The sequence below is a fragment of the Homo sapiens genome, chromosome 12 (genome assembly GCF_000001405.40).
Source record: "Homo sapiens chromosome 12, GRCh38.p14 Primary Assembly".
Lineage (NCBI taxonomy): Eukaryota > Metazoa > Chordata > Mammalia > Primates > Hominidae > Homo > Homo sapiens.
The window spans coordinates 79,173,444-79,200,330 of NC_000012.12; the positions used below are offsets into that span (position 1 = coordinate 79,173,444).

Genomic DNA, 26,887 nt, shown 5'->3' on the forward strand with positions numbered 1-26,887 from the left:
TCCCAAAAGATGTAAATGTTGCTCCTTTTTTCCCCTTTAGTGCATGCAGTGGAAATTCCCCATCACTCGGTTGGAATATGAAGAGTAAAAATAAGTGTTCCCATCCTAAAAGAGACAACATGAATTTCAATTCAAAGAAGAAAGATTCCAGATGGTTGGAATGATCAGGAAATAATTCAGAGAGAAGATAGTATCTGAGAAAGGCTTAAAAGAGGAATACAAATTAAACAGGCAAGATGAAAGAAAAGGGCTACCATAAGGAGCCTTGTAAAACGTCCAGAAGAAATAACTAGAAGAATTTCCAGGCTTCAAAAAGGACCCAGTTAACATTGGAGTGAATTTTTAATGAATTTAGTCAGTACGATTTGAGACTTTCTTTATTAATATTTAGGAGGCAAGGATAAGGCAGACATCATAAAGTGTTTACAGTTAGCAAGTGCCGTAATGTATATTTAACTTAATGTGGCATTCTATGAAAGTAGTGTATCATTACAATAGATGTTGTGGAGTTCAGGCTCTGTTGCTGGACAAATGAAACCAGTATCTGTGTCAGTCTAGGAGGAGTAAAGAAGGGAAAATAATGAACAGATTTATGGGGAAAAGCAGAAGACAGACGTCTATAATGAAAGAGAAGTTTTGGAAAATGGATTAATGCCCAGAGATAAAACCCACACTATAATTATGAAAATCATTAGAATTTTAACAAAAGGAATTTTGAGGGCCAAATAGCAGAGGGTCATCACTGGATGCTGAAATCACTAAGGATGCTTCTAAAAATGTTGGCACAATGTGGTGTAAGCTAGTGGAGAAAGATGGATACCCATCACAGAAGTTGTTGGTGACATTGATGAAGAATTAAATAGCATAAATACAGAAAAAATAAGTGGCTTCAGAACATGCTGTTGGTTAATAATCTGGAAGTGGTATTGGCTGATAAATAATATGGTGACGTATTCTCCTGTCCTTATAGAAAAAATAGGCTAGAAGGCATCAGGGAGAAATCGGGTTTCAATTAATAAAAAGTGTAACGAGCCTTGAAAAAGATTTGAGAATTTATTACAATGTGCAATAAAATGTAGCTAGTCAGTAACATATGATTTATGAGACACTAGCAAGGAAATGGGCCAGAGTATATATGTGGCCTGGGAAACAAGAGAGATCTAGGTAAGAAAAGGGAGTTGGGAACTATCAATAGCAAGGATTAAGAAAATGGGTTGAGAGAGAAGCTCCAGGAAACTGTTGACAGTACAGAAGGTGTCATAATTTAATCACTTCAGTCCTTTGGAATGGTATTGCCAAGTCACTTTGGGATGTTAAAAAATTATATTCCTTCAACACTTTATAATTAGGAACAGGAATTGGCATCATCCTATTGGAGCTTGCTGCTAACAACGTGGGAGTTTTTAGAGACAGATACAAGGTCTTGCCAACACATTCTAATGTAGTCACAATGCCATCCAGTGGTTACTTTGGTTACTTTACAGGTACTTTCCATTGCTCTTTAAGAATATATTTTATTTTATAGTTAATATTCATCAAAGTTTCAGAAAGCTTGTATGGAAAGTGTTTTATTATATCTTCAAAAATGGCATAGCAGGGATTTGATTTGCTATGTACTTCTAAGCTAATGGAGTTATATCCAGCTTGTTTTCTATATGTGTTATGCTCTGGGAAACATGATTTAGCCTGTCCTCTATCAAAATTAATGCAATAAGGAACCATGAAATAATGGGACTTACACTGTATTCAATTTTAGTTCTAATAGAAACACAATGGAAAATAACATCTGCGACATAGGCCTGGTTGATCAGAGGAAAGTAATGGACATTTGTTGCTGTGATTTTATTGGTGCTATGGGTTTTTTCCTTCACGGTATGCTCATCAGTATAGGGATAATGTAATAAATACTTTTGACTTCACTCGTATTTAGTCTCAGTTTGTCTGTAAGGTCATAATGAGCAAACTTAAATGGGAAACATTAATTTGGCAGCTGACAACATAAAATAAATCTAGCTGCCATTAGCAAGGACCCTTCTTAAAATTTTTATAAAAGCACAGCTTTCAAGTTTATTGCACATCTCTTTAAAAATGTATTTCAAAGTAACTTCAGAGACATCTATTTGGCACACTCAAACTTTTGGTGATGAAATTCCCTTTTGCCACTAAAATTCATTATTTGAATCTCCATGGTAAATTAGCTTTATGAGTTAGCTATTGTAATTATTTTTCTGTGAAGCAAAGGCAGGAGTAGAGACAATTTCATCATCTTATCATCATTTGTATGTGGAATCACTAAAGAGTTTACCCATGTGGAACCATGAAAGTCCCTGATTTACCCCTCTATCAGTAGGCATAAACATATCTAAACCACCCAAGAAACTGTACATTAATATTGCTTCTAAGACCTGGGGGTTGGGGGGTAGCATCCCCACAGTCAACAATGTTAAAGTGATGAAACATTTTAAATAATTTTAATGTTAAAATAATTGGAGCCATTTCTTGTTTGATTATTTTCACACTATTGGTCCTTAAACTGTTTAAATTTGGTTCAGAAAGTACAGAGCGGGCCGGGTGTGGAGGGTCACACCTGTAATCCCAGCACTTTGGAAGGCCGAGGAGGGTGGATCACCTGATGTTCAGAGTTCAAAACCAGCCTGGCCAACATGGTGAAACCTCATCTCTACTAAAAATACAAAATTAGCCAGGTATGGTGGTGCATGCCTGGAATCCCAGCTACTTGGGAGGCTGAGGCAGGAGAATCACTTGAACCTGGGAGGCTGAGGTTTCAGTGAGCCAAGATCACTCCATTCACTCCAGCCTGGGCAACAAGAGCGAAATTCTGTCTCAAAAAAAAAAAAAAATACCAAAGTGATTTGGAAAAGAAAGTGATATTGATGTAAATGATGGCAGTGTCTGCAGATTTTCAGGGGTGTAGGAGCAAGAGATCTAATGTTACCCAGACCGAGTGGCAAAACTGAAGATAATGACCACAATAGAAACACTTCACAGTTCACAAGAGTTATGGTGTTTTATCTTCACTCATGTAGCTAAATACTCCATGTTGATATTCATTTGTCAATACTAAATTAAGCTGAGTAATTCTTTTAACTAAACACTGATACTCTACAACCTGCTTCGTACAGTACATTTATTGGGGGCTTTGTTCTTGTTGTTGAGTTCTATATTTTTTTAACTTTACATTTGAAAAAGTTTTAGACTTACAAAAAAAGTTGAAATAGTACAATGAACACACATATACCTTTGCTTACACCAAATGGTAACCTCTTTGCCACATTTGCTTTGACTATCAATTTATTTTTTTTGGAGTAAACTAGATAAAAATAAGTTGAAGACACTTCAACCTATAACCCTGTAAACCTTAGGGTTTACAACCCTACGTAGTTTACAATACTACTACATACTTCAGTAGTATCTCCTAAGAACAAAAATACTTTCCTGTATAACCACAATGTCAATCACACATCCAAAAATTGAACATTCGTCCAATAATATTATCCAATATAATCTCTAAATTTAAATTCCCCCAATTCTCCAAAATTTCACTGATAACTCCATTGTAAAAGCATATTTCTTTTTTTTTTTATGTTTTTTTTTATTATACTCTAAGTTTTAGGGTACATGTGCACATTGTGCAGGTTAGTTACATATGTATACATGTGCCATGCTGGTGCGCTGCACCCACTAACGTGTCATCTAGCATTAGGTATATCTCCCAATGCTATCCCTCCCCCCTCCCCCGACCCCACCACAGTCCCCAGAGTGTGATATTCACCTTCCTGTGTCCATGTGATCTCATTGTTCAATTCCCACCTATGAGTGAGAATATGCGGTGTTTGGTTTTTTGTTCTTGCGATAGTTTACTGAGAATGATGGTTTCCAATTTCATCCATGTCCCTACAAAGGACATGAACTCATCATTTTTTATGGCTGCATAGTATTCCATGGTGTATATGTGCCACATTTTCTTAATCCAGTCTATCATTGTTGGACATTTGGGTTGGTTCCAAGTCTTTGCTATTGTGAATAGTGCCGCAATAAACATACGTGTGCATGTGTCTTTATAGCAGCATGATTTATAGTCCTTTGGGTATATACCCAGTAATGGGATGGCTGGGTCAAATGGTATTTCTAGTTCTAGATCCCTGAGGAATCGCCACACTGACTTCCACAATGGTTGAACTAGTATACAGTCCCACCAACAGTGTAAAAGTGTTCCTATTTCTCCACATCCTCTCCAGCACCTGTTGTTCCCTGACTTTTTAATGATTGCCATTCTAACTGGTGTGAGATGATATCTCATAGTGGTTTTGATTTGCATTTCTCTGATGGCCAGTGATGATGAGCATTTCTTCATGTGTTTTTTGGCTGCATAAATGTCTTCTTTTGAGAAGTGTCTGTTCATGTCCTTCGCCCACTTTTTGATGGGGTTGTTTGTTTTTTCTTGTAAATTTGTTTGAGTTCATTGTAGATTCTGGATATTAGCCCTTTGTCAGATGAGTAGTTTGCGAAAATTTTCTCCCATGTTGTAGGTTGCCTGTTCACTCTGATGGTAGTTTCTTTTGCTGTGCAGAAGCTCTTTAGTTTAATTAGATCCCATTTGTCAATTTTGGCTTTTGTTGCCATTGCTGTAAAAGCATATTTCTATTCTTATCATTAATATTCTCTTCCCAGGATACCTTCTACCCAGTGTTTTTAGCATAGTTGGCCCTTGCCTGAATCACTTATTATATTGACTATTACAAAAAGGTGATTTTCTAATTCTATCATTTCCTTTACATTTTGAGATTTTTTTATTCTGTGAAGACTGTTCTCTTCCTTTTACTTAATAGTATCACTCAGCCACATAGATTCCTTTTTATTTCAATTTTTTTGTAGTCCATCACCATTATTTTTCTTTTTCATGCTCGTATTGTCTGAAATTTAGCTGATGAGAGCCACCAGAAACCACCCCTGTGTCTTTCTGACATGTCTCCAACAGATTTGGGGCATGTTCTTACTTACAAAATAAGGTATTCTAGGCCCACTTTGTACCTTGCCTGTTCCAGACATTTGTTTTTTGTTTTGTTTTGTTTTGTTTTTTGTTTTTTTCCTATGGGCAATGATATTTGGAAACCTGCATATGCTCATTTTTACTGCAATATTATTTTTCTAGGCTCATTTGGTGGACAGGGCTATATTTTTCTTAATAATGAGTACATAGTTATACCTCCAAGTCAAATCCAATACCATAGAATGTTTCCTCACTTTTCTCCATTTCATATGTTTATATCACATCTCCCACTGTCAAAACAGTAATTTGTTTATTTATTTATATTTATTTATTTATTTTTGAGATGGAATTTCGCTCTTATAGCCCAGGCTGGAGTGCGATGGCGTGATCTCGGCTCACTGCAATCTCCTCAGCCTCCTGAGTAGCTGGGATTTCATGCATGCGCCACCACACCCAGATATAGATATAGATATATCTATATAGATATAGATATAGATATAGATATAGATATAGATATATAGATATAGATATATCTATATAGATATAGATATAGATATATAGATATAGATATAGATATATAGATATAGATATAGATATATAGATATAGATATAGATATATAGATATAGATATAGATATATAGATATAGATATATAGATATAGATATAGATATAGATATATAGATATAGATATAGATATATAGATATATAGATATAGATATAGATATATAGATATAGATATAGATATATAGATATAGATATAGATATATAGATATAGATATAGATATATAGATATAGATATAGATATAGATATATAGATATAGATATAGATATATAGATACAGATTTAGATATATCTATATAGATATAGATATAGATATAGATATATCGATATGTCTATATCGATATAGATATAGATATAGATATAGATATATCGATATAGATATCCATATAGATATAGATATAGATATATCTATATAGATATATCCATATAGATATAGATATAATCTATATAGATATAGATATAGAGATATAGATATATCTATATAGATATAGATATAGATATATCTATATAGATATAGATATAGATATAGAGATATAGATATAGATTTAGATATATAGATATGGATATAGATATAGATTTTTTTTAATAGAGACGGGATTTCTCCATGTGGGTCAGGCTGGTCTCAAACTCCCGACCTCAGGTGATCAGCCCACTTCCGCCTCCCAAAGTATTGGGATTACAGGCGGGAGCCACCATGCCTGGCTGAAAACAGTAGTTTCTAACGTCCTTGATCTATTTGCCATTTGCTCTAGCCTAAGTTTCAGATTTTTAATTATTCATTTTTGTCCTTGGACAATGTACCACTAAGGGTGTCTCACTTAACAATGTATATTGAAACTAACTTTACACTTGAAAAAGTTTTAGACTTACAGATTATAGAGATACACTTTATTCTTTTTTATGGCTCCATAGTTCTTCATTTTATGGATCTATCAGAATTTACTCAACCAATCCCTATAATTTGATATTTGGGATTTTCCCCAATATTATGCTATAATGATGTACTTTGTGCATGTTATTTTATATTCTTCAAGACGTATCTTCAGGGTGAATTTCTAGAAGTGGGATTGCAAAGAGAAGAGTTACTAAAGATAAATACTTTTGTCAGATATTGCCAAATTTCCCTCTATTAGAAATTGTACCATTTTGCATTTCCACCATTGTCCTTCCTAAAATAACCAAACCATTATTTCTTTGAAAATATGAACAATATTAATTAACTAATATTAAAAAATAAAGAGCTTTTCTAGAACAAGCATAAGAATTCCTTACACACTATCCTCACTTCCTGATTCCAAACTCAAATTTAGATTTTATAGGTAGAATATGCCACTGCAGAAGCAGAGAAGACTATAATTCTAGACAAGCCTCAACATATGTAATCATTTAAAGCTTTAGTATTGGTATTAGTCCATTCTCACATTGTTATAAAGAAGTATCTGAGACTGGTAATTTATTTTCTTTTTTTTTTTTAAAAAAAGGAGTTTTAATTGGCTCGGGGTTCTGCAGGCTGTACAGATAGCATAATGCTGGCATCTTCTTAGCTTCTGAGGAGGCCTCAGGAAACTTATAATCATGGCTGAAGTGGAAGGAGGAGCAGGCGTCTCACATGGCAGGAGCAGGAGCAAGAGAGAGTGAAGGGGGAGGTGCCACACACTTTTAAATGAGCAGATCTCAAGAAAATGAACTCACTATCATGAGGACAGTATCAAGAGAATGGTGCTAAACCATTCATGAGAAATCACCCCTATGATCCAATCACCTCCCAGCAGGCCCCACCTCCAACGTTGGGTGATATGGTTTGGCTGTGTCCCCCAGCCCAATCTCATCTTGAACTGTAGTTCCCATAATCCCTATATTTCATGGGAGGGACCCAGTGGGAGATAACTGAATCATGGGGGCAGTTACCTCCATGCTGTCCTCATGATAGCGAGTGAGTTCTCTCGAGAGCTGATGGTTTTATAAGGTGATTTTCCCCTCTTCACTCTGCATTCTCCTTGCTGCCGCCACATGAAGAAGGACGTATATGCGTCCTCTCTGCCATGATTGTAAGTTTCCTGAGGCCTCCCAGCCCTGCAGAACTGCGAGTCAATTACACCTCTTTCCTTTAGAAATTACCCAGTCTTGGGTATGTCTTTATTAACACTGTGAGAATGGACTAATCCATCGTCCATTGTAATCCATTGTAAACTAATCCACGTTTACAATTGAACGTGAGATTTGGATGAGGACACAGGTTCAAATGATATCAGTATTTATGATTGCATTTTTCTTGAGCTAATTAAAAATATTAAATAAAACAAAGTCATTCATAACATAGAAATTTGGAGTGGAAAGAAATCTTAGGGATTTACTTTTATGGATCATATTAGCAGAAGGTGAAGTACTGACAATATAAAAATGATTGAATGCATATCACATTGTTTCTTAGAGTATGGATCAATACATATAGCATTTTTGCCACTTTCTACTCAAAATACAATCTTCTCTCCCTTTTTTTTCTTCCAGGGCCCCCACTCTTCTCCATATCAACCGTATACCTTTCTAGATGTCTAATATATTTAAATAGTTCCTGAGACCCTATGATCTGATTTCTCAGTTTCCATTCCCAAGTAGCTAAGTGTGGCAGACCAGGTCATGTGACTGGAACCACTGTGGATTCTCCTCATGAGACACCAATGGGCTTTCACTGCTACTCAGTACTCCTGCTGCTCCAGGCTTCAAATGTCTGAAATTCCCACAATGCCCCTAATCCCTTCTCTTTCAGTTGATAACCTTAGTTTTTAGTTCACATGAAGACCAACAACATCCCATTGTGTTCCTATCAATTCTATCATCCCTTTTCCAGAACATCTTTATTTTCACTCTTTTTTCTCTTTCTCCTAGACAACCCCACCCCTACCTCATCCTCCATGCTCTTCCTCTGGAGCACTATAAGTCATCTCCGTTTTAATTTATAATGTTTTAAATCTTTCTCACTTCTGGTAACTTCTCTTTGTCTACACACATGTATAGGTCTGTAACATTCTAAAGACAGCTTTTCACCATGTTACCCTGAGTTATTACTTTGTCTTTGTCCTTTCAACTGCAAAATTGTGCACTGTTTTAAAATCACAGCTTTTTACTCACTTGTCAAGCCCTTGTAATCCAGCTTCCACTTCATAATGCTGTTCTCTTAAAAGTTTCTAGTGACCTCTAAACTCTAATTTCAATAGTCTTTTACTGGTCTTCATCCTCCTTAAACTCACTTTAATGTTTGGTACTACTGATTGGTCTTTTTTTAACTCCCTTTCTGTGATTTTTTGGGACACTTTGGTGTCATGGTTTTCTTCCTAAATGCTCTTATTCTCTCTTGTTCATTAGTTTGTCCCAACTCCTAAAATTAAGCATTTCCTGAAACATCTTCATAAAGTCTACTTGAGTAATTGACCAGATGAACAACAAGTTGAGGACCATCCATGAGAATATACCTCCTGGACTGTGAAAATAGCATAATGCATCCTGGGGACTCAATCAACAAAGCCTGAGAGTAAAAGGAGAAAAAACTATAGATATGGGTAGGTCCAGATGATATGCGTATAGTTCAAGAACTTTATTTTTTAGACCAACACATATTGCAGTTAATTGCATCAATAGTTTTTAACTGACTGAAAGCAGAGATCTGAACTATAATTTAAAAGCATAAATGTTTACCCTTCTTCTAGCATCTCTGCTGAAAAGATTTTCTTTCAATCTGATAACCTAAAGCAAATTGCATAATATTAGTGTGTCTAAACTGTGCTTAGTTACTTCTCATTAGAAATCAGTTCTGTTACTTCTGTTACTTCTCATTAGAAATCAGTTCTGTTTCCCCATTTTTAAAGGCCTAACAATTTTAAAAAGTTAAATATTGTGTACAGATAATAATATTGTTATAGCTTCATTTGATGTAGGTCAAATTCTGATGCAAACTGGTCCTTGTAATAATCGTTCAGAGTAAGAACCAAATGTGTTATATTCTTTTTAATTAAGAATTTAAGAAATATTTCATCATACATTCATTGCCTAAGTCAGCAAATGTTTATTGTGCACTGACTATGTGGAATTCACTTTTCTGAGCATTAGAGATTCAAGCTAGACAAACTTTTGTCCCCTGGAGCATGCACATTCCATCTGAATGAATTAAACTGGCTGAGATATTATGGTATATGTAGCTTACACATGCAGCACCACTCACTTCGGGAAGAGACAAGTCTTCTGCAGTGAGTGGTGCTGCATAGGATGTACCAGCTTTTAGTGAACACAGTAAGTTGCGCAGACAGGAAGATATTTGTCTTCTGTAGAGAGGAACTGGTTCATCTTTGCCAGTGGTTCTCAACCAGGGATGATACTGCCCCCAGGGGACATGGGCAATATCTGGAGATATTTTTAATTGCCACAACTCAGGGAAAAGGGTGCTACTGGCATTTAGTAATGCTGCTAAACATCCCACAATGCACAGGAGAGCTACCCCCAACCACCAAAGAATTATGTAGTCCAAAATGTCAACAGTGTCAAGGCCAAGAAACCCTTCTCTAGGCTAAAGGGTCTATGTGGCTTAATTACTGGGTTCTTTCTTAGAAGAACATACACCATGCTGTTCCCACAGCCCCTCTCCTCCCTCTTACCGTATAGATGGTCCTTTCAAGCTAATTTTTCTGGCTGTTTTTTGTTCCATGGGTAAACAGAGAATGTTCAGGTTAGATATGTACCTTCTATTTGTTTTTCAAGCTGTTCTCAAGGGTCAATCAATGCTTACTAAAGTTTTCGAGCAAGCACTAAGGTAGTGAGTTCTGTGCCTGCTGGGCATAATTACAGGAAACAACTTTGTTTTTAAAATCTCATAACAAGAAGCACAAGCACAATCCACAAATTACAATTCCTTTGCAGTGTGTTTGTACCCTTAGCAGCTCACAGCAGGGCCACATCATCGTCTCCGCCAGCCACCATTTTTCTAGCTACCTTCCTAAAATATCAGAAACAACAAACTTCCCAGGGTGAGGAAACATCCTGTAGTTTTGCCCACATGGATCAGTATTTTTCCCATTCTGTCATTATGTTGCTATGAAGTAGACAATAAATTATTATGAAAATATGAATAGAAAGAGGAAGTGAGTCATGTAAATCATTATTAGTATTCTATTTCACGTGATGGAAAACTCACAGGGATCTTGGTGTTAGTCCAGAATTCACTCATGTTTTCCCTTTATTTTAAATGCTGAAAAAAACATAGGTTGTAATGTTATCATTGTACTTGTAGAACTATATGACTAGATATGAACTAAGTTACTTGGCAACAGTTGAGCTCCAAATGGAACTTATGCCTTTATTAGTTATGTAACATTAGATACCTCACTTAACCTTTCAAGGGCTCAATTTGGTAATATGTTAAATAAATAAATTGAGCTAGTATCTGGCATGAGAATCCTGGGTTTGAATTTGGCATCATCAGTTTCTGGCCATGTGACCATCAGCAAGCCACCCACTGTGCAGAGAGATTATAATGAGATGAGATTAGCATGGGCATTACAAAGATTTTTGCCATTGCTGTTGTCACCAACAGATAATTATCTTGCATGTGTCTTCTATAGCACAACTGAAAATCACTGTAAACTATATTAAGAGATAATATCCAGCATTCAGAATATCTAAGATGGTCAGAATTAGGTAGGTTTTAAAACTCTTATGTTTCAGCTCTTTCCAAGTCAAATATGAATAACTATAATCCACATCTAGGAGTAGAAGTAAAAGAATGGAAATCTAATTTGCACCCCAGTGGTTTGTGACATCATCTTTATTAACATGCACGCTCTGAGTATTTTAGATTCACTGGGAAACTGTTGATATTTAGAAAGGGAATATTTCTCTTTAAACTGGTAAAGCTTAAGCATCTCCTCTGAAAATTCTTCTATCCCAGGATCTCTTTCCTGACATAAAACTGCATGAGCTGTGTTCTTACCGCAAGAGCATCTTCATTAGCAAACAGAAATGTCACCTAGCAAAAGGAAGTATCAAGAAGCCGGCTCTCTCCACTATGAATTGCCATCTTGGTCTGTACTACTGATCCTCAGGAGCACTAGTTATGCTCAGAAATTGACCTAAGACATTATTTACAGATTCTGTGAATTTCTAATTACCTTTGTTCACAAGAAGTCAATCATCAGTGCTTATGAAGAGTCACCTATTTGAATGACAAATAACTAAGTGCTGGAGATTTATTAAAATGAAATTAAATGCTACTTAAATTATCTTTCACCTATCCATTTGCATTTCTATTTTTCCGACTGTTTTTCTAGCAGTTCTATTGAGCCTGGTAAGGTCTTCACCTCCATCAGGCACTTTTAGGGTTGAATGCACATTGGAGTGATCTAGTGTGAGATTTTACAGAACAACTATTCCACCTTTCCAATATCCCTTCTGTGTTAGATTTCTCCAGAGTACACAGATAATAAGTGGCCACATTATATCTTGTTATATAAGTTTGCACTGCAGAAGGAATGGTCTGAGTCTTCAAGGAGCTGACATCTTTATTAGAGACAAAAGACAAATATATGTTAAAAAAAGAGTAGCCCATTCAAAAAAAGAAATCAGTCCATTACAGCAAATCTTCATTATATCAGCTAACTACTAGCAGTATGGACTGAAAATATGGATCAGTAGTATGTATATAGAAGTGACTTGAAAATATCCATAATTACATACCAGTTCCACTGAACCAAGTAATGTATCATGTAATGATTATTTTATAGCAAAGTTAACTATACAGGCTTTTTCTATAAAATATGTCCTATATTTCCACTAATGTCCATTAGAAAATGAGAGATACTCTCCATTTTTTAAATCTTCAACATTTTTGGCCAAAAAAATATTTAAATGCAATCCTGCAGCATGTTAAGAATTTAACTGTTTTACTTTCTGACATTTTAATTCTCAAAAATAGTTCATTTGGTGTCATAGCATTTTTTATATCTTTCTTTGTTCAAGAAGCTGCTTCTGTCACCTTTTCCCCTGACACCAAAGGATTTTCTTTATATTCAAGGATCCCCTCAAATTTACATCTTCTAAAACTTTCCTCTCATCTTTCTTTGCATGTGATTTTCTGGTATCTTCTGGATTTTACTTATTTCATAAGTATAAAATTTTTATGAGTAATATGACATAAAGTTCAATTACTTTATCAATTCTAGACATTCAAATTCCTCTTATATATTCTACCTCACTTGCATGATACCTATGTTAGTTTGTATTTTATTTATATTTGTTGCACAAAGCCATTACTTTGTAAAAAGTATTCTTATACTATACTGGAAAAAGTGTAGAAAACCTGGGTTCTAGTCTTACATTGCTTGACATTTTCTTTCATCAATATTAGAATGGGAATATTGTACTTGATTGTGTTCCTTTGCCCATAACTTTTTAATTGTGTGTGTTTTTTATATTCATGGGCATTTCAATTTATTATCCTCCCCAGGTCTAGAAAGCAAATTGAACTTTTGAAACTTTTTCTTTGAGAGAAAGGAAGTAATTTTATTCATGATATCCATTTCAGTTAGTAAAAATGTCTTTAAGCAGCTAAGTGGCTCCCCAAAGATTAAATGTCCAATAAGTGAAAAAATCGGAAGTAGACTCCTGGCCCCCTGGTTTCCCACATCAAAGACTAGCTGCCAGATACATTTCCTCCTACCAGATTTCTCTTGAAATTGTAATTTGTCATCTTCTGAGTAGTAGACAATGAAGGCCTAAGATTTATTTTCCTTGCAAGTGAATAATTAGTGAATGTCAATTTCATGTTTTTTTCAATCTGTGTGAAAGTCAAAAATAGTCACGTTAATTATACTTAGCAGGCACTTTTCTGTGATAATACACCAATTCCTGGAGATGACAAATGTAAATAATATTTACTCCTTAAAAGGTAATCTAATCTGGTATTATTTATAAGTTCATTTAACATTGTCTTCCTTATAGATAACTTCAATAGTGTTTTACTAATTAGATATAAGAAAGACAGTCCCCTCATCTAAACATTATTTTATTTACACTTGCTTTTAGGTTTTTATTGTTTCTTTATTTTCTTCTACACCCCCTTACAGCACAAGGTATCTCAAACCTCAAGCAGCTACCATCTGGCTTGTTTTATATAACTCTCTCAGCCCATTCAAGTGGCAATACACCAGCGAAGAATAAAAAGATATATATTGGATGGAGCCCAAGAACTGCACCCAAAATAGCTTTTTAAAAGTCATTGAGCATAACAGTGGGAATAATAGGAAGGTCTTAAGCGGCAGCTGCTCAGAGAGCACTGGAATAATTCTCTCATCATCTTGCCACAGGTATCGTCCAGAAAGCAACGCTCCTAGCACCTCCACTTTCTTTTTCACTTTGGTTTTTATGTCTATCTTTAGTTTTTATGTCTATCACTCAAATTGCAACAGCTGACAAGCACCTGGGATTTAATTCCTGCCGGATTTCATACATTCACATTAATTTTGGTAATTTCCCAATTGTAACAGTGAGAACCTTCCCCAATTTGGGTGAGCAGCTTTAATATTTCATTGCATATTCATGTATCACCTCACGTTATTTTTAGTTTCTAAAAGAGATAGCAGACGAGGCTTCATAAAAGATTAGTAGGAGCCCTAGAAATAGCTTTATCACTATTCCAGTATATTTCTTTTTTCTTTTCCTGAGAGGGCAGAAAAGGATTCCCTTCAAAGAAGGCATATTTGGTAGTGAACAAAAGGGAACCTTCCCAAGACCACTAGCAATCTCGCTGATATGTTGGAATGTCTAATTTTGATTCTCTCAAGACAGCCTACCACAATGCCCCTGTTCAGCTATTGTAGGGCACAAGCTAATCTTTACATTCTGTTTCCTTCCTCCCAATTCTTCTCATTTGAATTATTTAAGGAATATGTCATGTTTCATTATTTCTACATTTCTTTCACTGAACTATCAAGACTTGGGAAAGAAACACGTCTTTTTAAAAAACACACACATGTACAGCACAGGTTATTCCTTTTCCATTTCAAATAATTTATTCGCATTATATTGGTGTCTTGTAAATTTCATATTTATTGTGCTGCTTTTTAAAATAATTTTTTAAAGTGAAATTTCCTATTCCAGTTCCCTTTTTCATCCAGAGATTTTTATAAGATCATATAGCATGTAATACAGTAAAAAACTCAACATACCAGAATATATTTTTAGAATAGAGACATTCTACAAATGGCAGGAGATTTTTTCCATTTTATGCCTTATGAAAAATGGATTTGGAACTTATAAAAAATGTATCTGGAACATCTGAGTGCAAGATTTTTGATTGGATTTTAGAATTCAGATCTATGATTTAAAAGCAATTTCTTCCTTTCTGAAAGTGTCCATGTCAAATTGATTTTTAAGGAGAAAGAAATGGTGTAATTTGGATTTTGAACCCTTTTCTCAGGACTTAGATTGTTTTCATTTATCTTGACTTCCTTTATCTTTATTGCATCCTCATGGAGTTGGAAAAGCATGTGTTTTCACAACTTTTTTTTACAAGGGTTGACCACAGGCAAAGCCATAAATAAGGCTTTATTCTTTGTTCCATTTCACCTTTCTAGCTTCACATCTATTCAATGCCAATGTGGCTTTCTAGCTAATACTCTTTTTTTCTATCTTGAGGGAAAAGTCTTAATATTTTGTAGCATCACTCCAAAAAATAATTTGCTTTTTTCCCCCCACAAAGAGTAAGGAGAGAAAATAGTTAACACAAATGAATTAATCACTAATGGCTGACTTTCAAGTAAAAATCCAATGAATGTGGAGTAGTTGTCTAGGAGATGTAACTGGAAATTTTTCAAGTCCTTGAAAATGCATAGAAGAATACAGAGTCCCACTTTATTATTCTTATAAAAACCAAAGATCTGAGTATCAAATCACTAACCTATTTTTTTTTATCTTGATGCTCAAGCTCTGAAAGTAGCTCTTTCTCAGTCAGGCTTCTAACTTCTATGATGGTTGCATCAACTTTAATGTTCTAATTTTTAGCACAGCTAATGGAGTAAACTGTAACTGAGTAAAAAGATGACTAGACCACTATCTAGCTTTCTGACTTTTGGAAGCAACCATCCCTTTCTGAATGTTATTTGCCTCCTCTAAAATTAGGAGGCTCAAGCTATTTCTTAAAAAAGAGTTCTGCAATAAGCTTCTTGGGTTTGAATTCAGATTCTATCACTTTACTAGCTCTGTGGTCTTGTACAAACTATTTAGTCTGTCTACACTTTAATTTCCTTACTGTAACATGGAGATCATTGCAGTATCTACTATAGAAGGAATTCTATCAAATGATGTTGGCCTAGTTGACTTTCAATAACTTTTAGCTATTGTTTGATTCAGAGGTATGTTCAAGTCATTATAGCTATGTAAAACAATTAAAATAACTGAAAAATGTGAACAATTCCCAAATATTTGTATAATAGCTGACATTTTATTAAGTGTTTATTATATGAGAAACACTAAGTTCTTGATTTGTATATTTCAATTATTCCTCTCAGTAACACAGTATAGAAGATATAATTATCCCTGGTTTACCCATGAAAAAATTAACCTAGGAAAAGCATGGTGACTCACACCTGTAATCCCAGCACTTTGGGAAGCCAAGGCAGGCAGATCACCTGAGGTCAAGAGTTTGAGACTAGCCTGGCTAACATGACAAAACCTCGTCTCTACTAAAAATACAAAAATTAGCCAGACATGGTGGTTCATTCCTGTAGACCCAGTTACTCTGGAGGCTGAGGAAGGAGAATCACTTGAACCCAGGAGGCGGAGGTTGCAGTGAGCTGAGATCGTGCCACTGCACTCCAGCCTGGGTGACAGAACAAGACTGTGTCTCAAAAAAATAAATATAAATAACTTAAATAAGCACACAGTCACACAAGTGAAAAAGTGCTGGAAGTGGCATATAAAGGGGAGCGTGTTTTCCCCCAGAGTTCACTCTTTTAATCACTGGACTGTATTTTGCCTTCCACTCTGGTGGAAGACCTCTGCCTTCAGTCTAGATGACTAATGCATAATTAACTGCAGCACTACATCCTGAAGAAAATCAACCTGTCCATGTTTCTTGAATCATTTTTACAATTAATATCTGATTTATATTTCTTCTTTTCCGAACTTGCCAGAGAATTTTAGAACATGATGCATATATATTTTTCAAGCATGCAAATCCATAAAGTCAAAGAGAGTTTTTGAACCACAGCTTGTTACTCCCCTACCTTCTTTCCTGTCAAAATCACCTGTGAAGAATCAACTTTCTCAGAAAGCTCAGCAACTTATTGAGATTTGGCCTGGAATTCACATAAAACTAGATAAAATTAGTGCTAAAAGGCCTATAAGAGCACCATAAAATAATTGACATCAAAACACCCACACACACACATACATTTTCATTTCAAATGTAAGAAGCCAGAGCTCTGACCCCATTGCTTTCCATAGCTGGCGAAAAGTATGACTTTTGAAATCGATACATTGCAATCTCCATGTTACCATCCTAGTGCAGTACTCCACAGCACCGGCGCCAGGAAGAAACATCAGTGTTTCATTCTCCAGATTAATGATCTCCTTTCAGAGAAATGACTTTCAGCTATTTTAGACTATATGCCCTTCATTTGAGAAGCAGTTTGTATTCATTCACTTACAGTCAATATTCACTAATATCATGGATTGATGGAGTTAAAAAGCTTTTCATTAGTTCTGTTAGCAAGGCTAATTTTTATAGCATTTGATCATTTTACTTCTAGTTGCCCCTCTTTTTTTCAGAACTTTGTGTCCCCCAATCATTCTTTTGATAGAGTAATATATTACATGTTTTGTATCTACAAAGATGTGTCCATGTCCCCAATAATGAGAGCAGCTACTCACAAAACAAGGTTCCTGTTTCTTGAACTAATTATGCACAGAAATTTCTACCTCTCACTTACCAATGAGATAATTAAAATGTGAGTCTTGGAGCAGAGAGGATTAGAGGTTTAGATGCTTGTATAATACATATATTACTGGCTAGTAATTTGTACTGAAAAAAACATAAATATAAATATATATATATGTATAAACTCTTTGCTCCATTTCTCATGTATCTTATTATTTGTTTATTTTTGCAGATGTTATTATTCCTAAATTCAAATTGGTCACAGGTTCATTCAAGAAAAACACTATACCAACGTAACTACATACCAATTATAAAAATAAGGAATGTCTTGATGAAACATAGATATGGGGATAGAATAGATATTCCTGATCTCTAAGTGTACATCAACAGTAGGGTTCTTTCCTCATTAAGTTTAACTTACCAAGAACATGTGTAAAAACTCTATTTTGCTGTTCAAAGACATTCACATGAAATTTTTTTAGTGAAGTAGCAGATCCAAGTACATGAAGAGCCTTGGGAATAAAAATAGGCAAAGCCTTATAATAATGATTCCTGCTAATAGAAATATTTATAATTACACTATGACATCCTGTTTTTAGTTGCTATGCAATTAACATTTTCTCTTTTCTTCTACTTCCTCTTACACTTATACACATGAGGATATGTGGGTTTCATTATGCCAGGATGACTAGGTAGAGACATTTGTTGATATTTTAAGAATTTTAAGACATTTCTAGACTTCAAAAATGCATGGTTAGTTGTTTCTTTTTTATTGTCAAAAACTTGTAGTGGACATTGCTATGCTTCAGGGACTTCACACATACATAACATCTCCTTTAATCCTCATGTAACCTCTGAGGACTTGCTGGTCTAGTATGGAATATGGGACATATACCTGAATAACCACAACTTAAGACACAAAATGGTGACGGCCATGAGCAAGGTACAGAGATCAGTAGCCATAACCGTGCAGAAGAAAAATGTTGCTTCTACCTGAAAAAAATAAAAAAGGTTCCTTTAAGTGGTGACATTAGGAGCTGACCTGAGGGGAAAACAATGGTACTTTTAATATCAATCCACCCCTATAACTTCCCCTTAACTTTAGATGTGTATCATTAGCATTATTCTTGTGTTAAAACATTAGGGGGATGCTTTGGCAAGAACCTGAAATGAAGACAAGCGTGCAAGTAAAAAGGAAAGAGATTGAAGGTCTAAGAATGTCAGAAATACCTAGCAAGGACTAGGAGTGAGAAGGAACAGGAGTGTGTGTTTTAGTGAAAAGAGATCACATAGGATGAAAGGAACCAAAATCTATTCCTAAGGAGTTAAAAATAAAAGGATGCAGAGTAGGAAAATCATTGTTTGATTCTCCTTTGATAGAATTACCAGTTGATATCATTAAGACAGTCTAGTTTATTTGTTGCCTGAATTGACCTATGCAGATGCCAAAGGAGACCTTTTGTCTTCAGGATGGGTAGGGATAAAGTGAGAAGAGTTTAATTTCTGACCCCATGTACAGGACATTGGAGGCTCAGATGCTCATTACTCGGGGAATACTGATGAGGATGAAACAAGAAGTGCATCATCTACTGAGGGTCTGGAAGTTTACTATCGTTAATATCTACAATGTGGAGGGTGGGGAAAGGATGCAAAGGAGGAAGAGACACTTGTTTTGAAGGTGACCAAGATGACCTTTACCCTATAGCTAAGCTGAATGACCTTGCTGGTAGGTGAAGTATTTTGCGAAACCATTCTGGCTCACTTAGGGGCCAGCCTTGTGGATTGTCATTATTCATAGAAAGACACAGTGTCTGCTCCCAACATTGACCTCACAGTATGAGAGTTGAGTAATATGAATGAATTATTTATTACTTATTCAAATTTTAAGACTCACTGGCCTCTAATAGAACCAAAATAAGAAATTTTTTTCTTCCTTCTTTTCCAATAAGTTGATACCTCTATCTATGCTTCTCACAAATGGATTCTCTACAATCAAGTGATTCCTTTCAATACTGTGGACTCACAAACTGGCTAATTATACCTGAATTAAGGGCAGTTCCATTCAGGTGATTCTACATTTCATTTTACACAATGCCATAGCCAGGAATGACCCAAAACAATTTCTTAATAGCCTGAAAGAGTTCCTTAACTTTCCAACAAACTTCAGGAAAAACACATAGGATAATTAAATAAATCCAGGAAACAATTTTTTAAACATTTTCTTTATACTAGGGTTGAGCTAGACACTACCTAACTCTCAAGGAGTTTACAGTATGACTTTTTGAAGCCTTATTTTTTACAAAAATGAAATAGATGTATAAATAATAAATATAATGCTAGGCAATAAGACATAAGAGATGTACTAGGGAAATAAATAAATTTTGACTGGGCTGGCTCAGAGAAGAAGAAAACAGTTGACTTAGAACTTAAACCATTACAAGGATTAGGATAGTAAATAATTAAGTGGGAGTGGAATTTGGGTAGAAAGTTTGCCAGGACTGAGGAAAATTGAGCTCCTATCAATATGGTGAGTTAATTAATAGAGTTAAAATTCAGGTGTGTAACCCAATAATTTACTTTCATTTCCTGGCTTATCATTACTTATTTCCATACTTTCATTTTTTACTATTATTAAGATTCATCAAAGCTGGGTATTGTGCCTCAAACCAGTAATCCCAGCTATTCAAGAGGCTGTGGCAAAAGAATCGTTCATGCCCAGCAGTTCAAGGCTGCAGTGAGCTATGATCATGCCACTGCACTCCAGCCTGGGTAGTGAGAACCCCATCTCTAAGATCCATCAAGTCAGCATGGCCAAAATATCTTTTGTTCAATACATGAAAAATGGATGAAGCTAACATTAAATATCATTCTTATATATTTCTTCATCAAATTCCACATTTTTTATTTTTAAAATGATTCACTTTGTATTGTTTTATTTTTTCTTACTTCTTAGGTATTTCTAAATCCCAATATGCTCTGATAAATAATTATCATAGAGCATATGATTTTAAGCAGAGATGCTAATTGGCTTTAAAAAATACAGACTCATGATTGTAATCATCTAACTGTTGTTGAACCCCAAATTTCAAATTCCTGCTAAGCACTGCAACTCGTATAAAATTATTCAGAAAAGCAGTGTTTTATGCAGAGTGAGCCTCTGAGGAAAAAATTATCTATAGTCTAAATAACTTTTGCAAATAGGCCTACTATAAAATTTGGTAGGCTGATTTTTCCTGTCTCTCAGTAAATCTAGTATAACATTGAAAAAGATCACCACACTTGGTTTGAAGTCTAAATGAAATAATAGGCTTGATTTAAGAGCCATATTGTATGAAAAATATAATTGTTTTTTACTATTTTTTTCCTGAGTGGGTATGATTGGTGTCACCTATGTTTAATAATGTAACTACTGCAGTGGGTCTCAAAGACAAGCCACATCAGATTCACCTGGAGGGCTTGTTAAACTCAGTTGCAAAATTCTACACTCAGAAAGTCTGAAGTGGGGCTTAATAATTTTGTTATTATTATTATTATTATTATTGTAGAGACGGGTCTCACTATGTTGCCCAGGCTAGTCTTGAACTCCTGTCCTCAAGCAATCCCCCTGCCTCGACCTCCCAAAATTAGAATTACAGACATGAAAGGATTTTTATTTTTAATGAGTAACCAGTGATGCCAACGCTGCTGGTCCAGGGGACCCACTTTGAGAACCACTGTGTACACACACACACTTGAAACACATAAATATATATATCTTAAATTAATTTGTGATCATGAAGGGTATGTGTGTGTGTGTTTAAATGCCTGTGTGATTGTACATCATTCAACCAGCTACATTTTTTAATCATTAGTCATTTCTTATTATGTGGCAGTGAATATAACCACTTCTAACCTATAGAACTGTTTTGATGTTCAAAACCAGTTCTCAGCTGCTGGGAATGCCTTAAACGCTAAGGTCAAATTGTCAATAGAATCCTGCCTGCGTAGACTTAATACCAGTAAGATAGATCTAAAATTGGCATTTCAATAAGCTATTTTGCTAAACTTTAATAACACAAATTCTGTTAACCTTGAAGCCCTGATTAAAACACAAATAAGCGAGAAAATCCCTATTGTTAACTGAGCCCATTTTGCATATTTATTGCTACATCTTTTAATTTGTAAGGCCATGGCAGACTGTATAATGAAATCTGCTCTCTAGTTGCTAGGTCTTTCTTTTTGTCTTTTCCACATTATATTACACGTAGGTGCTGGATGTCAGTGTAGTAGCAGCTTACCTACATTTGGAGAAAATATAAAAACCTTTGAAAAATGTTTGCTATCATTCTGTCATTCCTTTCTTAACTCTTTTTCCTATATTTGTCCATCATCTGTTTTCAGAGTCCAAAAATTTTAACTAGTTTTTTCACTCCACCAAAATGAAAATTCTAACTATATTTATTTAGCTATTTATTTTTTAAAGAAATGCTGCATTTTGTTGGGTTGAGTGGTATATAGAGTCTACCAGGTGCTTTGATTAATTCAGAGTTATCCTTTGCACAATCATATATTTGAAAAAAGAGAGGTAACCCTGAAAAAAAAAAAAAAAAAGAGAATACAGTATGAATGAGCTGGGGTTGGAGAGTTTGAGAATACCGAAGTTCAGAAACATGGGGACTATTTGGCACCCAAGAAAATAACCACATAGTCATCATCAGGTTTTGGGACTGCTTATGGGGAGGAAAGAGGATGCCCAAAGTAGTTTAATGAAACACTGAAAGTAATGATTTAGGAACAGATTAAAAGATGCCAGATTCATCACTTCATCACATGATCTGCCTTTCTTTGCAGTCTAACTTGGGATAAACTAAGGAAGAAAGTATGACAATCAAATTACCTGCTTTTCCTGTTTTTATAAAATTATGTAAAATTATAGAAGACAAAGTTAAAACTACATGTCGCATTTCAACTACTGTATCTATGGATTTCTTACTGAGAACTGTCTCCAGTGACACAAATAATTTTAAATTGCATGCATTGTTTATATTTAAAGACTACAAATTCTCTTTATTTCTTCATTCAACAAATATTTATTATGCAGCTTCTGTGTGCCAAGTGTTAGCTGAAGGAAATATAGTTGCGAACAGACATCTCTTGCCCAGCCAGGTAGTTAAGACATACTAAGAAACACTAATAGCAATAAAATGTACATGGAGCTATGTACATTTCTAATTCTGTTGTTGTTGTTGTTGTTGTTGTTGTTGTTGTTGTTGAGATGGAACCTCCCTCTGTCACCAGGCTGGAGTGCAGTGTCACGATCTCGGCTCACTGCAACCTCCACCTCCCGGGTTCAAGTCATTCTCCTGCCTCAGCCTCCCAAGTAGCTGGGACTACAGGCACCTGCCACCATGCCCAGCAAATTTTTGTGTTTTTACTAGAGATGGGGTTTCACCATGTTGGCCAGGATGGTCTCGATTTCTTGACCTCGTGATCCGCCCTCCTCAGCCTCCCAAAGTACTGAGATTACAGGCATGAGCCATCGCACCCGGCTGTACATTTCTAATTCTATATCTGGGTACTCCTCTCAAACTCGAAGAACCTTAATTTGGAATTTAATTTCAATTATATGGAGGAAAAGGAATTAGTCCAACCTCTATACCTTTTCTTTTAGTAACAACTACAGAGCAGAAATGTGTCCCTTTAACCTTTGAAGGGGCTATTTTCCCTTTCAACACAACGGAAGAAAGCTTCAGATCAGAACTAATTGTTCTGTGATTGATTGATAGTTTCCCTCTTGTTGCTACATACAGCCCAATGACATGCATTGTACACACAACAGGAGGTAAGAGAGTCAATCAATTAGGGAAACAATTAGTTCCAGTTTCTACAATTCATTTGATGTTGTAGATGAAATTGCCTGAAAATATTAAGAGCATTAAAGATCAGTGGTGAAAGCTAAGTAAATACATTTATATTCAAATTTTAGAGGCAGATGCTTAGTTGATGCTGCTCTTCTGCAGATAGGCGATGTTAATGCAATAACAATTACAGTTTGGCAGCAATTAATAAATGGACTGTCAAAATCAGTCAAGTTGTGTTCATGGTTTTGGAAGGCTGCTGATTTTAGCTTTGACAAGATGTGGCTGAAGTGTTGCTGAAAAACTCAAAGTGATTAATTAATTTAGAAGATATAATTCTGTGACTCCCCTTCTATGGGTAGTAGTTGGAAATGGGGGAACCCAAACATTCAATGCAACCTGATGCCTTCTTTGGGGTCCACATTTAATTAGTATTTATGTCTAGTAAATGCAATGTGTAGGAATATTCTAAGATTTATGAGATTGATGAAGTTGTAACCAAGAAAATATGACGCAACTTGGAGTAATATAATTGATGAGATCTTCAAGTCATACGGAATTCTAGATTTAGAGCTTTTGTTGCGATATTAGGGTACAAAATTCAGGGTGGGGAGGAAATTAGGATGGACTAAGAGTGATGGGCTAGCTCTAAGTGAGCTCAAAGCTATGTCTCATGCAGAGCAATGTGAGAGACAGGTCCCTCTCCTCCTCCGGGTAAGAAAGCAAAAAGAAAGTTAATAAAAATAATCAAGAACATTTCATCCAAAACAGTAGAAAAGAGAAAATGCTTAAGAATTTTACTATATTTCCTCAAAAGCAAAATATAGGAACAAGTTTAAAGCCATAATTCCATCAAATTTTGAGTTTATATGTTAGCCTATTCTTAATAATGATCAAAGCTGCTTAAACCCAGAAAGTAAATCCTGATCAGTTTCACATTATCTTTTAGTTTGTTCAGCAAAAGAATAAAGAGAATACTGATGTTAACATGTGTATGTCTGTAGTATTTAAAATCCAACACACTCTGGCAGAAATGTTCTAGAGTGACTCAAATTTGATCCCTCAGAGAAAAAGTATATTTTTTAACAAGGTAACACTGTTACTTTGATGAATAAATTTTTTTCTAAAAAACTCTGGATACAACTAAGACAGCTAAGAAACATGGAAAGCAAATAAAACATCACTATCACCCAGAAAAAATAAGATAATACTAATAGAGAAAATTAATTCTAAATATTAAATCCATTTCTAGACCAAAACAGAAAAGAATTCACATTACCTTATTCAGGTTTTTCTAACCTTTCAATAAAAATCTTGTAGAAATTTGTTATAAAATTTCATTTTGTAATTTAATATTAGGAATTAATTAGGAGGGAAAACAAATTGATATTCTCAGCTCCTTATCTTTGGCGTTTTAGTACTTACATTGTCTTTCGTGTTCTAATTAATTTTACTAATCCCTTTAGCTAATGAATAAGTAAATGAGGACCAGGGGAAAAATTCATCAATTGCAAGAAAAGTGTAGAAAATTATTAATTCAGAAGTAACCCATAACAACCACAGTGAACTTGTCAGTATTGCTTTGCTCTCTTGCTAATATTCTAATTTCTGTTTTATTATTCTTCATAGAGCAAAATGTTTCACAGTTAATCTTAACAGTACTTTTGTTTCTAAGCCTTCTAAAAGGCATTGATTTGGGAATAGCCAAATATTTGAATATAAATTGATTTTATGCAATACACAGAAAACAAGTATTTTATTGATATAAGTGGTTTCTTTATTTGTAGAATTACACTTAAAATTATTTTGAAGCAGCATGAACTCTCTCTGGACGGTTTTGGAATTTCATGCCCAAATCAACTTGAACATTACTTTTATATGAGCTTTTTGTCTTCTGCAGTAGCATAAATGCCTATGGATGGAAGTGTCAGGGGAGTAGAGATGGAGATAAAAGCTTCAGGAAACAAGATGTAAGTGTGAAAATGACAGAATGTTCATGTGGGAAGAAATTGCTATAAAGCTTTTCTTTCCTTCATTCCTCTTCCTAAAAGAAATACTTAAATTTTAGGACTTCAGTCATTTTCTTTCAATCTGGTTGATAATAGCAGGAGACTAAGGCCTACTTTATATATTAAGACAGAAAATGCTCAGACATTACAGAGACAGGCATGAAGAAGGGGAAGCCCGCATGAATTTTTGGAATGACAAACCTTCTGTGCTGATATTCTGATGTCAGTTGACATTCTGATATTGATTTTCAGACTTCCTTCACTGAGGAAGTAGTTATAATCTTTAACCAGCATGGCCAAGAAAGAAATCTCAAGGGCAGTAGAGACTTTTGCTGTTGTCTAAGTTCTTTTTATCCTCTTTAATGCCATACCATTCTTACCTCTTTGGAAGGCTGTTTGTCATTCACAACCAATTCAATTCAATTCAGTGTCTGATGATGGACTTCTACAAAGTGCATCTTAATCAGCAGATTTCCACAGAGACTTTTCCTCTCTCTAACACCCTCTGCAAAATGCTGGCTGAAATTTTTACTTGTTACCATGAATAACAGCATGATTTTGCAGCTACATGTTCCCCTCTTTCAAAATTGAATGCTCTATATCCGTTTTTCCCTACCAGCTGCCTTCCCTCTCTCCACTGTCAGCATTTTGTGATGAAAAAGATTCAGTTACAATATGTGCCCCATATTGTGTAGGCTTTATTTTCACTCAGGCTTTGAGTCAGGCCTCCATTCTCACCATAGAAATGCCCTATCACCTCTCCAAACACCAATTCTCTCTAAAATTAAATTTATTCTGCTATAACATGCAAAACCTAGAAATGCATCCAAAGCCTGCTTCTGACACCAGAGAAAAATGAAAAATCACGAGCAAATTCACCTAAGTTTACTCACATTTATGTTTTACTCCCTTATAACAGAGTAATGCAAAATTAGGTTTATATCAATATAAATACGTATCATAAGCACTATCAAATTTTATACTGTGGTAGGGATTGAGACATTGTGCTGAGTATTGCAAATACAAATGTTAATAAAATCCTATCCCAAAACTCAGGGAGCTCAGAGCTGATTGATGAAATAGATACATAAGAAGATAATCATGATATAATTCTAGAAATGCATTAATTCCTAAAAGTCTTGATCCTTTCCCTTTCCCAATATAATGGTGAGGAACTTTGTTTAAGAAAATATGTTTAAGAATAGGTAGCATAAATTTTTTTTTATTAGAATTATAAAGAGGGCTTCTCTTCCTGGTGACATCTTAACCACAAGAGATTATTTATGCTTCCTACCAAAAGCTACTGAAATGGTAGAATAGAAGAGAGATGAAAAGGGTGAAGGACATAAAATTCTGTGCAACAAGAAAGTACCTTAACAAATCAGAAATTCTGAACCGTTTCCAAGACATAGAAAGCATTTTATAATAATTGATAAAGATACCAGATCTGAGAAAACTGCAACCCAGAAGTGCTTGGAAGAAATGTGCTGCAGAGAGAGGAGCCATTTTCCCCAGCTGGCCCTTGATAGTCTAACAAATTGCCAAAGGA

General features: G+C 35.1%; 1 protein-coding gene across 16 annotated transcripts in view; it reads left to right on the forward strand.

Moving 5' to 3' along the window:
* Window positions 1–26,887, forward strand: part of SYT1 (synaptotagmin 1) — a 588,027-nt gene that overhangs the window by 309,462 nt on the left and 251,678 nt on the right. The window lies entirely within an intron of this gene.